General features: G+C 50.4%; 1 pseudogene; it reads right to left on the reverse strand.

Moving 5' to 3' along the window:
- On the reverse strand, positions 1687 to 19349 carry CA5AP1 (carbonic anhydrase 5A pseudogene 1; annotated as a pseudogene).

A 20244-nucleotide genomic window follows, 5' to 3' on the forward strand; every position in this document is an offset into this window, starting at 1 on the left:
AATTTTGTATTTTTAGTAGAGATGGGGTTTCTCCATGTTGGTCAGGCTAGTCTGGAACTTGGCCTCCCAAAGTGCTGGGTTTACAGGCGTGAGCCACAGCGCCTGGCTCCTATGTTATTTTTTAGGAGCTTTATTGTTTTACCTTTCCTATTTAGATCTATAGTCTGTCAGGAATTAATTTTTGTGTGTGCTGTGAGGTAGGGGTGTGAGGTATGGTGAGAAAAAAGATTCATGGTTCCCCATTTGGATATCCCGTTGGCTCGGTGGGGTGGCTCATGCCTGTAATCCCAGCACTTTGGGAGGTCAAAGCAGGAGAACTATTGGAGCTCAGGGGTTCAGGACCAACCTGGGCAACATAATGAGACCCTGTGGATCAACAGATGAATTGATCGATCAATCAATACGTAGATAGATAAGTATCCAAATGATCCAAAACTATTCACAGAAAAGCCCAACCATTCCCTACAGCATGACTCAGGGATCACAAATGTGTGGAACCTTCTAGACATGCTATTCTTTTTCATTGGTTGATTTGTCCTTCTCTGACAGGTACCACATTATCTTAATTAATATAGCTTTTTATTTTTATTTATTTATTTTAGATGGAGTCTCACTCTGTCGCCCAGGCTGGAGTGCAGTGGCGTGATCTCAGCTCACTGCAAGTTCTGCCTCCCGGATTCAAGCGATTCTCCTGCCTCAGTCTCCTGAGTAGCTGGGATTACAGGCATGAGCCACCGCACCTAGCTAATTTTTGTATTTTTAGCAGAGACAGGGTTTCGCCATGTTGGCCAGGCTGGTGTCGAACTTCTGACCTCAGGTGATCTTCCCACCTCGGCCTCCCAAAGTGCTGGGATTACAGGCATGAGCCACTGCGCCTGGCCTACTATAGCTTTTGAAATAGGTCTTGACATCAAATTGTGTGTGTTTTCTGGTTTTATCCTGCCAGATTACTTTTGGTTGTATTTTTGGTAGAGACGGGGTTTCACCATGTTGGCCAGGCTGGTCTCAAACTTCTGACCTCAAGTGATCCACCTGCCTCGGCCTCCCAAAGTGCTGGGATTACAGGCGTGAACCACTGTGCCTGGCCTCACAAGAATTCCTTTTTATTTTGAGACGGAGTTTTGCTCTTGTTGCCCAGGCTGGAGTGCAATAGTGCAATCTTGACTCACTGCAACCTCTGCCTCCCGGGTTCAAGCAATTCTCCTGCCTCAGCCTCCCAAGTAGCTGGGATTACAGACACGCACCCAGCTAATGTTTGTGTTTTTTATAGAGACAGGGTTTCACCGTGTTGGCCAGGATGGTCTCGATCTCCTGACCTCGTGATCCACCCACCTCGGCCTCCCAAAGTGCTGGGATTAAAGGCGTGAGGCAATGCGCCCGGCCAGGAGTTTTTACAAGGAGGAAGCTGAAGCTGGAAAGGCACGGAAAAGGATCCTCCCCTAGAGCCTCAGAAGGAAGCAGCCGTGCGGACACCTTGGTGTCAGGCTTCTGGCTCACTGAACCGTAAGAGAATCAGTCTCCATTGTTTTAAGCCACCAAGTTTGTGGTACTTTGTTACAGTGAAACTAAGCACCCTGCACTTGCGTTGGGTGCCATGGCACACCCCTCCATCCCAGCGTTATGTTCCCCACGGTACTTACACATCTTTCTTTCACTTGCAGCTGAAACGTACTTTGACTAAAACAATAACCTCATTCTCTCTTTTTAATTTCAGAAGTCACGTACAATCACATTGTGAAACTTGGGAAACAACGCTTCCTTCCTTCAAAGTCAGTTCTGCTATTCATGTGGACCTAATGTCTCTAGGATCTTGTGCCCTCATTAGTGGCCTGGAAGGACGCCCAGACCTTCCAGTTCATCAGGGGTTGAAGTGGACGATAGTTGTTCACCGTCATCTTCTTCTCTTCACCAAGTGCAGAAAACAGGAGAGTACGAAATGCAGAGAGCTGGAATAGAGGGCAGCCAGGGTGAGCTTGGTATGAGTGCAGGGTGAGCCAGCCCCCAGGTGTCCCTCAGGCCTTGTGTGGTCTCCTCCCATGCTGAATCAGGATGGCCCGAAATGACCAGTAAAGATGGTGGAAGTGATGGTGTGTGCAGGGCCAGCTTATAAAAGGCATTGCCGCTTCCGCCTTGGTCTTTAGGATCACTTGCTCTGGGGGGAAGCTGGTCACCATATTGGGAGGGTACTCAAGCAGCCCCGAGGAGAGGCCCACAGGGAGAGGAGCTGAGGCTCCCAGCCAACTGCCAGCGCCAACTTGCCATCCACTTGAGAGGGCCAACCTTGGAATGAATCCTCTAGCCCTAGTTGAGCTTTCAGATCGCTACAGTCCCAGCTGACACTGGGCTACAATTCATGAAAGATGGTAAGCCAGAGCCACCCAAATTCACAACCCAAGGAAACTATGGGAGATAATAAATGATTGGTTTTTGTTGTCATTGTTGTTGTTGTTTGAGACAGTGTTTCCCTCTTGTTTCCCAGGCTGGAGTGTCATTGGCAAGATCTCAGCTCGCTGCAACCTCCGCCTCCCAGGTTCAAGCAATTCTCCTGCCTCGGCCTCCCGAGTAGTTGGGATCACAGGCATGAGCCACCATGCCCGGCTAATTTTTTTTTTTTTTTTTGAGATGGAATTTTGCTCCTGTTGCCCAGACTGGAGTGCAATGGTGTGATCTTTGCTCACCGCAACCTCCGCCTCCTGGGTTCAAGGGATTCTCCTGCCTCAGCCTCCTGAGTAGCTGGGCTTACAGGCATGCGCCACCACGCCCAGCTAATTTTGTATTTTTAGTAGAGATGGGGTTTCTCCATGTTGGTCAGGCTGCTCTCAAACTCCTGACCTCAGGTTATCCACCTGCCTCGGCCTCCCAAAGTACTGGGTTTATAGGCGTTAGCCACTGTGCTCAGCCTAATTTTGTATTTTTAGTAGAGACAGGGTTTCACCATGTTGGTCAGGCTGGTCTTGAACTCCTGACCTCAGGCGATCCACTCGCCTCGGCCCCCAAAGTGCTGGGATTACAGGCATGAGCTACTGCACCCGGCCCAAATGATTGTTTTCTAAAGCCACTATGTTTTGCAGCTATTTGTTACACAGCAATAGATAACTAACACCTATAATGTAAATGCTAAAGTAACATTTGAATTTACTTTTCACTCAAGGAACTAAAAGACTACTTTTTATGGCTGGATGCGGTGCCTCATGCCTGTAATCCCAGCACTTTGGGAGGCCAAGGTGGGTGAATCACCTGAGGTCAGGAGTTTGAGACCAGCCTGGCCAACATGGAGAAACCCTGTCTCTACTAAAAATACAAAATTAGCCAGGTGTGGTTGTGCATGCCTGTAATCCCAGCACTTTGGGAGGCCAGGTGTGGTGGCTCATGCCTGTAATCCCAGCACTTTGGGAGGCCAAGGTGGGTGAATCACCTGAAGTCAGGAGTTTGAGACCAGCCTGGCCAACATGGAGAAACCCCATCCCTACTAAAAATACAAAATTAGCCAGATGTGGTGGCTCATGCTTGTAATCCAGCTCCTCGGGAGGATGAGGCAGGAGAAGCGCTTTAACCTGGGAGGTGGAGCTTGTGGTGAGCGAGATCACGCCATTGCACTCCAGCCTGGGCAACAAGAGGGAAACTCTGTCTCAAAAAAAATAAATAAATAAAAAATAAAAAAAGACTTTTTATGTATTATCTCACTTGTTCACAGAATATACTTACGAACTCTGTGAGGCAACTCACACATTTAATTAAATTCAGAAGTGAGATTATGTCTACATGCTGACAGCATACTGGGCCAGTTAGCCCTGCGTGATGATCCAGCGCCCCCTAGAATTGTGCGCGCATGGTGCACCTGGCCTCCTGGGCCATGACCACAGTGTGCTCATCCACATTTGTGGTCTGCACATTTGTTGACTGTCTCAGAAAGGCAGCCTTTCTCCTCCCCTGGAAAACTCCCCGCCTTCCAGGACATGTGCCTCCCTGGCTCCCCTGCTCAGGATAAGGGGCTCCTGCCCTGCATTTTTATATGACACCGGCCACCCTGGCTTAATACTATTGGCTTCGTTTCTACTTTCCTGCCAGACAGCAGTATTCTGAGACGAATGCCCTGTTCCTGTGCCGCCCCTCCACACCTGCCCCCCTCCCACCCTCTCTTGGTGGCACAGACCCAGAATGGGCACTTGTCACATATATGCTTGTTGAGTAGCATAAGGGCCTTGCTGACAAGGGGCCACCTTCAACAAAAGCCTTCCCCATGTCCAACAGCTCTGGTTTGGAGGTAGGCAGATATTCTGCATCCCACATCTCCACGTGCAAATGACATCATGCCATGGTTTGTATATAAGGGAATATTTTCACAGGCCCAGGAGACTGAAAGACCCTCTAAGAGCTCACCTGGAGCCCTCAGAAAGAGATGAGCCAGAGATGCTAAGTCCTGCTGCGACTGCTGAGAAATGTCTGCCGGGCGGGGGCGGGGCATAGGCAGCATGCCTGTGGCTCTGAACTGCCTTGGACAGACAGAATTGCTATAGATTCTTAAGATTTCCAGAAAAAAATGATAGTATAACTTTTATTTATTTTTTATTTTATTTTTTTGAGACAGTCTCACTCTGTCGCCCAGGTTGGAGTGCAGTGGTGCCATCTCAGCTCACTGCAACCTCCGCCTTCCAGGTTCAAGTGATTCTCCTACCTCAGCCTCCCAAGTAGCTGGCACTACAGGCACACGCCACCATGCCCGGCTAATTTTTGTATTTTTATTTATTTATTTATTTGAGATGGAGTTTTGCTCTTGTTGTCCAGGCTGGAGTGCAGTGGTGCGATCTCGGCTCACTGCAGCCTCCACCTCCCGGCTTCAAGTTATTCTCTTGCCCCAGCTTCCCAAGTAGCTGATATTACAGGCGTGCACCACCACGCCTGGCTAATTTTGTAGATTTAGTAGAGACGGGGTTTCACCATGTTGGTCAGGCTGGTCTCGAACTCCTGGCCTCAAGTGATCTGCCTGTCTCAGCCTTCTAAAGTGCTAAAATTATAGGCATGAGCCATGACGCCCAGCCCAATAGTATAACTTTTAAAAATGTATACAAGGATTATTAACTAATTTTCGAAAAAAAAAAGCAATGAAACTATTTAGATAAGAAAAAGGAGGCCGGGCTCGGTGGCTCATGCCTGGAATCCCAGCACTTTGGGAGGCCAAGGTGGGCAGATCACCTGAGTTCAAGACCAGCTTGGCCAACATGGTGAAATCCCGTCTCTACTAAAAATACAAAAATTAGCCAGGCGTGGTGATGGGTGCCTGTAATCCCAGCTACTCGAGAGGCTGAGGCAGGAGAATTGCTTGAACCCAGGAGGTGGAGGTAGTAGTGAGCTGAGATCGAGCCACTGCACTGCAGCCTGGGCGACAGAGCGAGACTCTGTCTCAAAAAAAAAAAAAAGAAAGAAAAGAAAAAGGAAGAAAACAAAAACCATGCAGACCCATGACGCTGGGACAACTCCCATGGATGCCTTGTGTGTCTGTGTGTGATAGATTAGGGCATTGCTCAGAACATGCTCGCTGTGATCACTGGAACCGCTGTCCAATCTCAACAAGCTCCTACTTCAATTGGAACTTTCTTCTTGTGTAAGAACACCCCAAATGCATGAAAGAATATATATAACTCCTCAAGGCTCTTATGCAGCATCTTAGTGACGCTGCCAAGCAAGAGAGACGCCTTCCATGAAGCGCCATCATGCCAGTTACGGGCACGGCTCACTTGGCTTGGGGCCACTTCAACGGGCTCCTTCTGGATGATCCAGGTGACCGACTCGGTCAGCGGCGGGGTGGTGAGCGAGCCCACATAGGTCCAGTAATCCCAGCAGGTGGGCAGCAGAGCGGAGGGGTCGAAGGGGCGCATGGCCGCCCGCGCGTCCTGAGAGACCGAGAAGCCAAGGCCGTGTCAGTCCTCAGGCGGGACTAGGAGCTTCCATCTTGTCTCAGCACGGGAGGCCTTCATGGTGCTTGGAAGGAAGTGCTTTCCCCGAGATAAGGCCATGAGGCCACTGCTGTCACACTTGGAAGCAGTGATAAGAAAATGTGACCCTTCTATACAGAGCAAGGATTCCTGCCAACTTACATTGGTGGGAATTACATTACATTACACCAGCTTATGTTGGTGCTTACATTTTTCCTTTTGAAGTCATTTCTTGGGGCGCAGTAGCTCACCCCTGTAATCTCAGCACTTTGGGAGGCCGAGGCGGGTGGATCACTTGAGGTCAGGAGTTCGAGACCAGCCTGGTCAACATGATGAAACCCTGTCTCTACTAAAAATACAAAAATTATCCAGATGTGGTGGTGGGCGCCTGTAGTCCCAGCTACTCAGGAGGCTGAGGCAAGAGAATTTCTTGAGCCCAGGAGGCAGAGGTTGCAGTGAGCTGAGATCACGCCACTGCACTCCAGCCTGGGCAACAGAGTGAGACTCTGTCTCAAATAATAATAATAATAATAATAATTAATAAATAATAAAAACGCCATTTCTTTTAGCATACCTTGGCTGCAAAAAATATTACTTTTTATTGTGATAAAATATACATAACATAAAATTTACCATCTTAACCTTTTTTTTTTTTTTTGAGATGCAGTTTTGCTCTTGTTGCCCAGGCTGGGGTGCAATGGTGCGATCTTGGCTCACTGCAACCCTTCGCCTCCCAGGCTCAAGTGATTCTCCTGCCTCAACCTCCTGAGTAGCTGGGATTACAGGCACCCGCCACCACACCTGCTGATTTTGTATTTTTAGTAGAGACGGGGTTTCTTCATGTTGGTCAGGCTGGTTTTGAACTCCCAATCTCAGGTGATTCACCTGCCTCAGCCTCCCACAGTGCTGGGATGAGAGGCATGAGCCACCATGCCCAGCCCATCTTAACAATTTTTAAGTGTAAAGTTTCATGGCGTTAAATGCAGTCACATTGTGGTGCAACCATCTCCACCATCCGTCTCCAGAACTTTTCCATCATCCCAAACTCAAATTCTGTCCTGACCCCACTAAACACTATGTCCAGCTTCCTCCCCCAGGCCTGGCACCCACCATTCTGCTTCCATCTCTCTGAATCTGAGGACTCTGGGGACCTGATGTGGGTGGGATCCTGTGGTTTTTGTCTTTTGTGTCTGGCTTATTTCACTGGGCATAATGTCCTTCAGGTTTATCCACATTGGAGCATGTGTCAGGAGTCCCTGCATTGTTGCTTTTTTTTTTTTTTTTTTTTTCTGAGACGGAGTCTCGCTGTGTCACCCAGGCTGGAGTGCAGTGGTGTGATCTCGGCTCACTGCAAGCTCCGCCTCCTGGAGTTCAAGACCAGCTTGAACTCCTGGGTTCATGCCATTCTCCTGCCTCAGCCTCCCCAGTAGCTGGGACTATAGGCACCCGCCACCACGCTCGGCCAATTTTTTGTATTTTTAGTAGAGACGGGGTTTCACCATGTTAGACAGGATGGTCTCAATCTCCTGACCTCGTGATCCGCCCACCTCGGCCTCCCAAAATGTTAGGATTACAGGCATGAGCCACCGTGCCTGGCTTGCCTGGAGACATTTCTACTGCTACCTTACCGATCAGGGTATCCAGTATCTCCGTGATTACCTTCATCTGTCCCTGGAAACTGTGCCTGCCACCCTACGCTGCAGCCGTCCAGGGACTGGCAGGCCTCGGCCTAAAGGTCTGGAGGGTGGGCGACCTGCAAGACTCACAAGAGGGGAAGCCAACAGACATACCTATAGACGGAGTGCTGTGCCCCTGGTGCCGACAAGAAAGCCAAGGCTCGGGCTGGGTCAGCAACCGAATTCCAGTTTAGAGGCAGATTTGGTCGTGGACATGGCCAGCCACCTCAGTAAAATTAGAGAGGATTATTTTGCATTGAATACACTCACAGCCAAAAAACAAAAAAAAAGAGTCAGGGTCTTACTTTGTCAACTAGGCAGGAGTGCAATGATGCCATCATAGCTCACTGCAGTCTCTAATTCCTGGGCTCAAGCGATCCCCCCGCGTCAGTCTCCCAAGTAGCTAGGACACCATACCAGGGTTTAAAATTAATTGTTTGTAGCCAAGGGGTCTTGCCATCTTGCCCAAGCTGTTCTCCAACTCCTGGGCTCCAGTGATCCTCCTGCCTTGGCCTCTCAAAATATTGGGATTACAGGCATAAGCCACTGTGCCCAGCCAGCTCTTTTGGATATATACCCAGAAGTGTGTGATTGCTGAATCATAGGGTAGTTCTATTTATAACTTTTTATTTTTTTTATTTTTTTGAGGCAGAGTCTCACTCTGTCTTCCAGGCTGGAGTGCCGTGGCATGATCTCGGCTCATGGTGGTTGGGCCTGGCCGCAACACAGCCTTCATCAGCATCCCATGCCAACCAAGCACAACTCTGCACCTGTCCCTGGCCAGCACTGTGGGACAAGAGTCCAGTCCAAAGTGACAGAGTCCCTGTCTGCAAGGAAGATGGCCTCCCTGCTCAGCCACATCACATCACCTTGACTTTGCTGGGCCCTGGCCTTCCAAGGTGGAAGCCGGCAACCTAGATGCCTTGGGCTTGTCTCCTAACATCAAGCAGTGAGGGTCAGGGTCAAGAGAGGTGGCTGAGCTACCAGAAGGAAGCCCAGGAGTGTCCACGCCGGCAGACACATGCATCAGTTCTGTGCACACGTGTTCACGTTTATAATTATCCAGTTAATTAAAAAAAAAAAACAGCATTATAGGCTGGGCGAAGTGGCTCATGCCTGTAATCGCAGCACTTTGGGAGGCCAAGGCAGGCAGATCACCTGAAGTCAGGAGTTCAAGACCAGCCTGACCAACATGGCGAACCCCCGTCTCTACTAAAAATACAAAAATTAGCCAGGCATGGTGGCAGGTGCTTGTCATCCCAGCTACTCGGGAGACTGAGACACAAGAATTGCTTTAGCACAGGAGGCAGAGGTTGCAGTGAGCCAAGATTGCACCATTGCACTCCAGTCTGGGCAACAGAAAGAGACTCGGTCTCAAACAACAACAACAGCAACAAAACCCACAGCATTATTGTGATAGAATTCACATACCATGCAACTCTCCCATCTAAAGTGTACAACCTGGTTGGGCGCGATGGATCATGCCTGTAATCCCAGCACTTTGGGAGGCCGATGTGGGAGGACTGCTTGAGGCCAGGAGTTTGAGACCAGCCTAAGCAACATAACAAGAATCTGACTCTACAAAAAATACAAAAACTAGCCAGGTGCAGTGGTACATGCCTGTGGTCCCAGGTAGTTGGGAGGCTGAGGTGGGAGGATGGCTTGAGCCCCGGAGGTTGAGGCTGCAGTGAGCTGTGATCATACCACTGCACTCTAGCCTGGGTGACAGAGTGAGATCCTTTCTTAAAATAAGTAAATAGGCCGGGCACAGTGGCTCATGCCTGTAATCCCAGCACTTTGGGAGGCCAAGGCGGGTGGATCACCTGAGGTCGGGAGTTCGAGACCAGCCTGACCAACATGGCGAAACCGCGTCTCTACTAAAAATACAAAATTAGCCAGGCGTGGTGGTGCATGCCTGTAATCCCAGCTACTCGGGAGGCTGAGGCAGGAGAATCGCTTGAACCTGGGAGGCAGAGGTTGCAGTGAGCTGAGATCATGCCATTGCACTCCAGCCTGGGCAACAAGAGTGAAACTCCATCTCAAAAAAAAAAAAAAAAACAGAAAAAGTAAATAAAAAATTGAAGTGTACAATTCTATGGTTTTGGGTATATTCACAGTTGTGCAGCCATCCCAAGTCAATTTTAGAACATTTTCAGCACCTCAAGGAGGAAGCTTGGTACTTTTTAGCTCTTCTCCCCACCCCCGCCGTGCTGCTTCTGTCTCTGTGGGTTTCATAGGAACTGAGTCATGTAACATGTGGAACATTTGTGTCTTGCGTCTGTCACTTAGTATGGTGCTTTTGAGGCTCACCCACACCGCAGCGTGAGTTAGAGCTGTGTCCTTTCTGATTGCCAAGTAATATCTCATTGCATGGTCTAGCTGGGTTGACATCCCATTGCACACTCTAGCTGGGCTGTGAAGGAGCAGGCTGCTTGTGCACATGGGTAACGGATGTACAGTGAGACGTCAGTCTGTGCACATGGGTAACAGGTGGGTGCACCGTGAGGTGTTAGTCTATGCACATGGGTAACAGGCGGGTGTGCAGTGAGATGTCAGTCTGGTGCACATGGGTAACAGGCAGGTGTGCAGTGAGGCGTCAGTCTGGTGCACATGGGTAACAAGTGGGTGTGCAGTGAGGCGTCAGTCTGTACACGTGGGTAACAGGTGGGTGTGCAGTGAGGCGTCAGTCTGGTGCACGTGGGTAACAGGCGGGTGTGCAGTGAGATGTCGGTCTATGCACATGGGTAACAGGTCGGTGTGCAGTGAGACGTCGGTCTGTGCACATGGGTAACAGGCGGGTGTGCAGTGAGACGTCCGTCTATGCACATGGGTAACAGGCAGGTGTGCAGTGAGATGTCCTCTCCTCCTGCCGGCCACACGTCCCCGCTCCCAGGGCACAGATGTGCCAGTCACTTTCTGAGCAACTACTTCAAATCTTCAGAACAACCCTTCAAGAAGTATTTCTAGTTTACTGATGAAGATAGACAGACAGATATAAACAACTTGCCCAAAGCCATGTTGCCAGTCAGGGCCACTGAGGCCTGGCCCTTTCCAAGGTGCGGGCTCTTCTCTCCCTCCCCAGGACTGCAGGAATCAGTCGGGGGAGTGGCAGGCCCCAGCCATTCCACTGCGTGCAGGTTTCCTGCCAATTAAGCTTTCCAGCCTTGGGCTGAGAAGAGGATGCCTGTGTGTTGCCTCATCGTCCCCAGGAGTTCCTGTCCTGTCTCTAAGATGCATGAGAGCTGGAGCAGCCATGTGGTTACAGAAAGCTGCTCCCCCTCAGGGCCCCCAAAGGAAGTCAGGGCCCTTCCTTTATGCGTGTGGTGAGCCCCAGGCAGCTAGAATGGGACACCGGTGAGCACACCAATGAGGCTGAAGACCATCACATCCATTATCTGAGCACGGATGGCCCAGCTACCTGTGGAAAGCACCACAAGCCTTTGCTGGCGGAAGTGGGTTGGTGACTTGTTCCACTTTTCTCTTATTTATTTATTTATTTTGAGACGGAGTTTCGCTCTTGTTGCCCAGGCTGGAGTGCAATGGCACGATCTCGGCTCACCACAACCTCCACCTCCCGGGTTCAAGCGATTCTCCTGCCTTAGCCTCCCTAGCAGCTGGGATTACACGCATGCACCATCACGCCTGGCTAATTTTGTATTTTTAATAGAGATGGGGTTTCTCTATGTTGGTCAGGCTCATCTCAAACTCCTGACCTCAGGTGATCCACCCGCCTCAGCCTCCCACAGTGCTGGGATTATAGGCGTGAGCCACCGCTCTGTTCCTGGTTTTGTCTTCTTTCTCTTAAACAGGACCCCGCATTTTATGAGCGTCAAGCCTCACCCAGCCTAACTCCGCCCTTGGTTTGTCCTCTTAGAGTCTCAGTTTCCCCAGGTGTACGACAGGCAGTGTGGTGGCTGTAATGGGCTTCCATCAGTGCCTGCCACATGGGCGTGGGGCTCGGTAGGTGCTGCCGCTGCTGCTGCCAAAGCTAGAAGAGCCCCCACAGGGCATAGAGCCATTCCCTGGATCCCCTGGACCTGGTGGGCTGTTTCCAACTCCACAAGGCAGCCAATTCCCCGGTAGCCCTGACTCTTGCGAAGGCAGGGAGGAGGGGGGACCCCAGCAGCCTGAGGAGCTTGCAGCTTGTCCAGGCATGGAGGGTGGGGACCCTCTGTGGGCAGTTTTTGCCAAAACTTCTGGCTATGGTGAGAGGGTCAAAGGCGAAGCCTCGAGGTCTCCATTCTGGGAGTGTCTGCCCAGGGTCACCGGGGCCACACTGGGGCTGGGCCTGCGTGCTGGGAGCTGAGTGCATAGTGACAGGTCGGCACTGGTAGGGGCCTGTGCAGATGGGACGGCGCTGGGGGTGGGGGTGGGGGTCCGGGCTTCCAGGCGGCGCCTAATGTGGTTTTGGTTATAGACACTGCCTGTGTTTCCCTCTAAGCTGCTGAAAAGCTCAGAAATGTGCAGCAGGGCCTGGAGCTCAGCCTGGGTTCTGACTGCATGTGGGAGGTGGGCGCTGGGACGACTGGGAGTTCAGGCTGCATGGACCCACTTCCTGGGTTTAAAAACGGGCTCTTCACCTGCCACCTGTGTGCCCGGGCAAGGCCTTCTCTGCCTCTCTGAGCTTTGGTTTCCCTGTGTGTGCAAGACAGATGAATCACAGGCCCTGCCCCGTGGAGTGATTGGAAGATTCAGTGTGATAATTTATATGGAGGGCTGTCGCTTCTTTGAACCCTTCCCACCGAGGTGTGGGGCGATGTCCCCTTGCCCTGAGCCTGGGCAGGTGCTCCTGGCGGGAGTGGTGAACAGGATGCCGCAGGAGCAGTGCTTTGTGACTCTGGAAGCCAGGGCAGAAAAGACATCGTGTCCGTCTGGCTCTTTCTGGAAATGCACCCTTGGAGCCCTGAGCACTGCATAGAAGCCAGCTGGGTCCCCAGGGAATGACCGTGGCAGGCATTCCTGGAGGGTCTCTGCCGAGTCAGTCCCACAGCAGGGCCCGGACCAGCCTGGAACTAGGAGAGATGATGGGGACTACGTGACTCTGGTCTTTCCTGCCCTAGTTCAGGACAGCTTGTTCCTTAACTGGAGGAAACCAGGAAAACAGCCCAGAAGCTGCAGGTGAGCCCATCCCTGGGTGAGGACTGCTGAGTCCGCGGGGGTGAGAGGCAGAGCTGGGATTTGAAGCCAAGGCCATCTGCCCTTGAGCCTGAGGCCACCACGGCCCCGTCCTGCCCTGCACTGCCCACCAATCAGGAGTTAGATTCAACCACACTTCTAGCATTTTCCATCAGAAGGCCATCATTCTAAAGTTTCATGGACTCCCAAAAGGTAATAGCTCTCTCTGGGAATCAGCTGACTGAAAGCACCCGCAGCAACAAAAAGCGACTTTAACCTTAGTGATTGGGCTGGTGGATTTTCGTTTCGTGACAGGCAGCAGCAGCCTGTGCATTCCACAGCAGACGTGTGTGTGTGAGTGTTGGCCACAGCTGGGCCTTAAACTCAACTGCACATTTCACCAAGAACCAGACATGCTCCTTATTCCATTACATGGTGAGAATGCTGCTCTAGTGTGGATTTTTTTTTTTTTTTGGAGACGGATTCTCGAGCTGTCACCCAGACTGGAGTGCAGTGGCATGATCTCGGCTCACTGCAACCTCCATCTCCTGGGTTCAAGCGATTCTCCTGCCTCAGCCTCCTGAGTAGCTGGGATTACAGGAGTGTGCCACCACACCCAGCTAATTTTTGTATTTTTAGTAGAGATGGGGTTTTGCCATGTTGGCCAGGCTGGTCTTGAACTCCTGACCTCAGGTGATCTACCCACCTCGGCCTCCCTAAGTGCTGGGATTACAGGTGTGAGCCACCGCGCCCGGGCTACTGTGGATGTTTAACATCTCCATTTCACAGGTGAGGAAGCTGAGGCTCAGAGGTGCGCAGCTCAGGAGTGGTGGATCAGGGCTCTGGACCCAGGAGTCCAACTGTGGGGCTCTCTGATACACTGTGCTATGGGAGAAGCTCCCAGAAGTCCTAGGCTAGGAGCCTCTAGGCGAGAGGGTTGTTCAAGTCTCTTCCCATTCCCTGACCCATGAAGCATAGACTCTTGCCCCGAAGGCTGGGTCTTTTACCTCCTAAGGTCTTTTTTTTTTTTTTTTTTTTTGAAATGAGTCTCGCTGTGTCACTCAGCCTGGAGTGCAGTGGCACAATCTCAGCTCACTGCAACCTCCATCTCCCAGATTCAAGCAATTCTCCTGCCTCAGCCTCCCGAGTAGCTGGGATTACAGGCACCCGCCACCATGCCTGGCTAATTTTTGTAGTTTTAGTAGAGATAGGCTTTCACCATGTTGGCCAGGCTGGTCTTGAACTCCTGACCTAAGGTGGTCTGCCTGCTTTGGCCTCCCAAAGTGTTAGGATTACAGGCTTGAGCCACCGCACTCAGCCTCTTAAGGTCTTTTAATTTCTCAAAGGTCTAACTCGGCCAGGCGCGGTGGTTCACGCCTGTAATCCCAGCAATTTGGGAGGCCAAGGTAGGCGGATCACTTGAGGTCAGGAGTTTGAGATCAGCCTGGCCAACATGGTGAAACCCTGTCTCTACTAAAAATACAAAAATTAGCCAGGCATGGTGGTGGGCGCCGGTACTTCCAGCTACTCAGGAGGTTGAGGCAGGAGAATCAGTTGAACCTGGAAGGCGGAGGTTGCAGTGAGCCGAGGTCGCGCCATTGCACTCCAGCCTGGGCAACATAGCAAGATTCTATCTCAAAAAAAAAAAAAAAAAAAAAAAGAGTCTAGCTCTTTATTTTCAGCTGAGGGGATGAGCCCAGAGATCAGCATCAGGACCAGAGCTCAGTCCGCGGTGCACTTCCTCCCCTGTCCCGGGCATCATTCCTCCCCTGTGGTTTGCCTAGAAAATTTTGACTTACCCCATGGGGAAGAAATGCTCCAGAACCTTCCCCAGGAGGAAAACAGCCCTTGGGTAAAGGGTCCTTCACAGCCAGCTCTTTTCTTTCCCACCAAGAGGTGGGACCACCTGGTGTGGGAGGTGGAGGCTGGCTGGGAAAACAACCCCTCCCCAGGTTTCCTCTGGCTGTGGAGCCGCGCGGAGGAAGAGGATGGGGCGTCAGAGCTCTCAGAACCGTGGCCTTGTGAAGTTTCTGAGCAGGCAAATGGGGCGGCGGGGGGTGATCTGGTCCCAGCCCCAGGAGGCCGCCCCGAAGCCAGCATCAAGGCGAAGGCCACGTACAGATCAAACGGCTCCTTGAACCGCGAGGAAGGGCTCGCCCCAGCTCCATCTGGACCAGCCCGCACCATTGTTAACACAGGTTGAAGCCTCATCCGTCCGCACATCTGAGGCTTGCGTTGACTCCTTCTGCCCTGGAATTCTTTTGTTTGCTGCTGAATAAATAAACTACATTTCTTTGGAATTTCTCCTTCTCCCTCAAAGCCTTTTCTCAGCTGATCTTGGAGAAAGGCGACACTCTTGTCCCCGCCATCTTTTCGAGCTGTGCTGGATGCAGGGAAGCGTATGGAGAGCTGGGCGCTGGATGCAGGGAAGCGTGTGGAGAGCTGGGCCGGAGAGCCGCGGTTTGGGCAGGTTTCTCTCTGCCCTTGGGCTTGGGGTCGGACAGGGACGTTCAAGGAGATGCTGGGTGGTACATGAGTCAACATTCTTAAATGTTATTAGTTAGGGATTTGAGGTTTTTGTTTCAATCTGTTTTCAAACAAACTTTATCATTAGTGAATATCATCACCCAGGACAAGGCTAAAAATTTTTCGAGCTAATCAATTTAAAGAAAAATATTAAGTAGGCTGGGCGCGGTGATTCACGCCTGTAATCCCAGCACCTTGGGAGGCCAAGGCGGGCGGATCACCTGAAGTCCGCAGTTTGAGACCAGCCTGGCCAACATGGTGAAACCCCGTCTCTACTAAAAATACAAAATTAGCTGGGTGTGGTGGCGCACACCTATCGTCCCAACTGCATGGGAGGCTGAGGCAAGAGAATTGCTTGAACCCGGGAGGCGGAGGTTGCAGTGAGCCGAGATCACGCCACTGCATTCCAGCCTGAGTGACAGAGGGAGACTCCTCGAAAAAATAAAAAAGAAAAGAAAAATATTCAGTAGAAAGTTGTCCCATTGGCAGGCAGATATGTCAAAGTCTTCAGGATCTTGCCTGCACGACTGAATTTTGGGAACTTCCATTGAGCCCAACACCCTTATTTTATGGAGGAGGAAACAGGGTCCCAGAGCAGTGGTGACGCATTCGAAGTCAGGAAGAGCTAGCTGTGGACACACGAGCATCAACCCTGCGGAATCCTGTTTCCAGAACTGGAATCACAGCGCCTCGGCGGGGCTCTTTCCACTATGAGATTTCTTTTTCCTTGCAAATGAATCGCTGCACTAAACAATTTTGCTTGTCAAATTATGCTGATTTCTTTTCTTTTTTTTTTTTTTTTTTTGAGATAGGATTTCACTCTTGTCACCCAGGCTGGAGTGCAACAGCGCGATCTCAGCTCACTGCAACCTCCACCTCTGGGTTCAAACGATTCTCCTGCCTCAGCCTCCCGAGTAGCTGGGATTGCAGGCATGTGCCATGACACCCTGCTAATTTTGTATTTTTAGTGGAGGCGGGATTTCTCCATGTTGGTCAGGCTGGTCTCGAACTCCCGACCTCAGGTGATCCACTGCCTCAGCCTCCCAAAGTACTGGGATCACAGGCGTGAGCCTCCGCGCCCGGCCTGCTGATTTCAAATATGCAGCTTACCTTATGTTTTACTTCCAGCAAGACGTCCACCAGCCTCTGCAGCATCTGATGATGGGCCCCGAGCTGCGTGGCAGACACACAAGGGGTTAGCTGAAAAGGCAGTGGGTGGCGGGGGGAAGCTCACTCCACTATAAATACACCACGTTTTAAAAGCAATCCTAGGCCAGGCACGGTGGCTCACGCCTGTGATCCCAGCACTTTGGGAGGCCGAGGTGGGCAGATATCTAAGGTCAGGAGTTTGAAACCAGCCTGGCCAATATGGTGAAACCCTGTCTCTACTAAAAATACAAAAATTAGCTGGGTGTGGTGACACACTCCTATAGTCCCAGCTACTGGGAAGGCTGAGGCAGGAGAATCACTTGAACCCAGGAGGTGGAGGTTGCAATGAGCCGAGACCGTGCCACTGCACTCCAGCCTGTGTGACACAGCGAGTCCTGTCTCAAAAAAAAAAAAAAGCAATCCTAATGATGGATCACCACTTTCTTCATTAGATCTACACCCCAGCAAGCGATTACCTTTAAAAACACGCCTATCACAGAAACCATTCTCTCCCACGACAGCTTCCTTGTAATTTTGGTATTTCACAGAATTCCAGTGAACTAAATGCAGCTGAAACACAATGGAAAGAGAACTTAAATTGATCAGCAAGAAATAAGACAGTCACTTCCCCTTCTGAATGGCTGACCTATGTGTCCACTTAATCATAATGAAATGGCCAGGCGCAGTGGCTCACACCTGTAATCCCAGCACCTTGGGAGGCTGAGGCGGGTGGATCATGAGGTCAGGAGATCAAGACCATCCTGGCTAACATGGTGAAACCCCGTCTCTACTAAAAATGCAAAAAAAAAAAATTAGCCGAGCATGGTGGCGGGCGCCTGTAGTCCCAGCTACTCAGGAGGCTGAGGCAGGAGAATTGCCTGAACCCAGGAGGTAAAGCTTGCAGTGAGCTGAGATTGTGCCTCTGCACTCCAGCCTGGGTGACAGAGCGCGACTCCGTCTCAAAAAAAAAAAAAAAAAAAAAAAAAGAACTAAGTTGTTGCAGCCAGATGTGTAAGATCCCAGCACTAGCAGCACCTCTGAGCTCCCAGGCACTTGATGAAGCCATGGGAAGGAAGAGCCTCAGTCTTCCTGGTGGTGGGAAAAAGGAGAGGATCATGTTAACCTCATCCAATAGAAATGGGTGGTTTCATTATTTTCTACTTCCTAGTTATCCTTGGACAAGGATTACCAGAAAAAACTCACGCCTCGGCTGGGCGTGGTGGCTCACGCCTGTAATCCCAGCACTCTGGGAGGCCGAGGCGAGTGGATCACGAGGACAGGAGTTCAAGACCAGCCTGGCCAAGACGGTGAAACCCCGTCTCTACTAAAACTACAAAAATTAGCTGGGCGCGGTGGCAGGTGCCTGTAATCCCAGCTACTCAGGAGGCTGAGGCAGGAGAATCACTTGAACCTGGGCAGCAGAGGTTGCAGTGAGCCAAGATTGCGAGATCGTGCGATCGCGCCACTGCACTCCAGCCTGGGGAACAGAGTGATACTCAGTCTCAAAAATAAATAAATAAATAAAATATCTGTTCATCAAAAATAAAGTTGCAGATAGAGATACTAAAATAAAAGGCATGTTGTTAAATGAAAGGAAGCACACAGAAGCCATTGTTGCGCTCATTCTTGGAACTATTTATAAATATCTGTATGATGATGACAATAGATATCACTCCCTATTTATAAAATGTCCGGAGGTCACCTCTGGGTGTGCGATTACAAGCAATTTTCATTTTTTGGTTTGGGTGCACTCTAGTTCCACATTAACTGCAGCATTACTTTCATAACAACAACAAGTTCAAAAAACAGAAAGAGTCCTCAACTTGAAAAAGCATCAAGAAGTCAGGTGAGTGGGTGAGCAGAGGTGTGATAAAGTGAATATGGCAAAAATGATCATCACAGGACTGAGACGTCAAACTCATAGATTCTTCTTGTTCATTTCTTTTCATTTTTTCGTATGTTGCAAAAATTTCATAATAAAATATTTGGGGAAATCTATAAGGCATCACTTATCACCCAAAAAAACTACAAAAACCAATTCCCAGCATTGATCTGCACTCATTTTCTCTACTGACTCCCACTTTGGAATGTTGAAAATAAGACTGCTTTAAGAAGATGATCTTGGCCGGGTGCAGTGGCTCACGCCTGTTATCCTAGCATTTTGGGAAGCTGAGGTGGGTGGATCACTTGAGGTCAGGAGTTTGAGACCAGCCTGGCCAACATGGCGAAACCACATCTCTACTAAAAATACAAAAATTAGCAGGGCCTGGTGGCACGCACCTGTAATCCCAGCTACTCGGAAGGCTGAGGCAGGAGAATCGCTTGAGCCTGGGAGATGGAGGTTGTGGTGAGCCAAGATTGCACCAATGCACTCCAGTCTGGGTGACAGAGTGAACCCTGTTTCAAAAAAACAAAAAACAAACAAACAAAAGAAGATGATCTCTATTGCAAAGATGTTCAGCTTCTCAGCGGAGGGCCTTGTGGATTTGCTAGTCCCTACAGCTGCAAGCACACAGCTGAGTGAAGCGTGGCAAAGAGCTCAAGCTCTGACTTTGAATCCCAGCTGTCTGGCTTTGGCAAGTTCCGTAACCATTCAGAACCTCAGTCTCTTCTTCCGTTAAATGAGAGAACTTACAGTGTCTTCTTCGTAGGAGGGGGGTGTGACCAAACGGGTGGGGCGGCCGACGGTTCTGGTTTGAGCACTGACAGTCCCAGGCCCCAGGAAATCCTTCACATCTGAGCGGCAGGCATGGCTTGTTCACCCCCCACCATAGAGCCGGAGACATGGAAAGCGTCCAGATATGTGCTGTTAGGCCACGTCTACAAACCTCTGCGGGGTACACGTGGCCGTCCACTGTGTGCTCTGAGCCCCCCTCGTTCACTGCTCCCCAGTGGAAGTGAAATTGCTTCAGTCTGTAGTGGTTTTCCAAGGGCCCGCCACTAATTCCTGGAAATAAAGGCAGCGAGACGTGTGTGTCATTTTGTCTGTTTGTTGAGCTGTGGTGTTACCTGAGGCATTGTCTACATTAGGGTTATATGAGTTCACTCGCAAGGGGTTGCTGTATGGTTGAAGTGACAAGCCAAAGGTGGGCTCCGTGAAAGGTGGGCTCTGTCTGTCCCATTCACTCTGCCCCCCGCCAGCCCAGCGCCTGCCCAGAGGTTCACAGTAAATGTGGAATGAAGGCAGGGTCCCAGTGCTGCCACTGGGTGGTGGTGAGGGCCTCATCTCCCTGCAGGCAGAAATCGGTAAAGAAAGTTTCTGAGATGCCTGCCTGTCCTATAAGATTTCCAGACTTTAATTTAAAAAAAAAAGATGTCTTCCAAATATTTTTTAAAAGCAGCTTAAATCCTATCACCAAATAACATTATAAAATAACACAATGAGCAAAGTTTTTGTTTTGTTTTGTTTTGTTTTGTTTTGTTTTAAGACAGAATCTTACTCTATTGCCCAGGCTGGAGTACAATGGCATGATCTCAGCTCACTGCAACCTCCACCTCTGGGTTCTAGTGATTCTCCTGCCCCAGCCTCCTGAGTAGCTGGGATTACAGGCATGTGCCACCAGGCCAAGCCAATTTTTGTATTTTAAGTAGAGACGGGGTTTCACCATGTTGGCCAGGCTGGTCTCAAACTCCTGATCTCAGGTGATCCACTCGCCTCTGCCTCCCAAAGTGCTGGGATGACAGGTGTGAGCCACCGCTCCTGGGTGAGCAAGGTTTTTAAATAAGCAGACCCTGAGCTATAGCATCAGTCCTGATCTCTGGCAGTCCCTGCTTAATCTAGGCCCACCACAGGGCCAGCTTTTATTGGAACACTCCTTCCGTCCTAAGTCACCCTAAACACTCAC

Source organism: Homo sapiens, chromosome 16, assembly GCF_000001405.40.
Source record: "Homo sapiens chromosome 16, GRCh38.p14 Primary Assembly".
Lineage (NCBI taxonomy): Eukaryota > Metazoa > Chordata > Mammalia > Primates > Hominidae > Homo > Homo sapiens.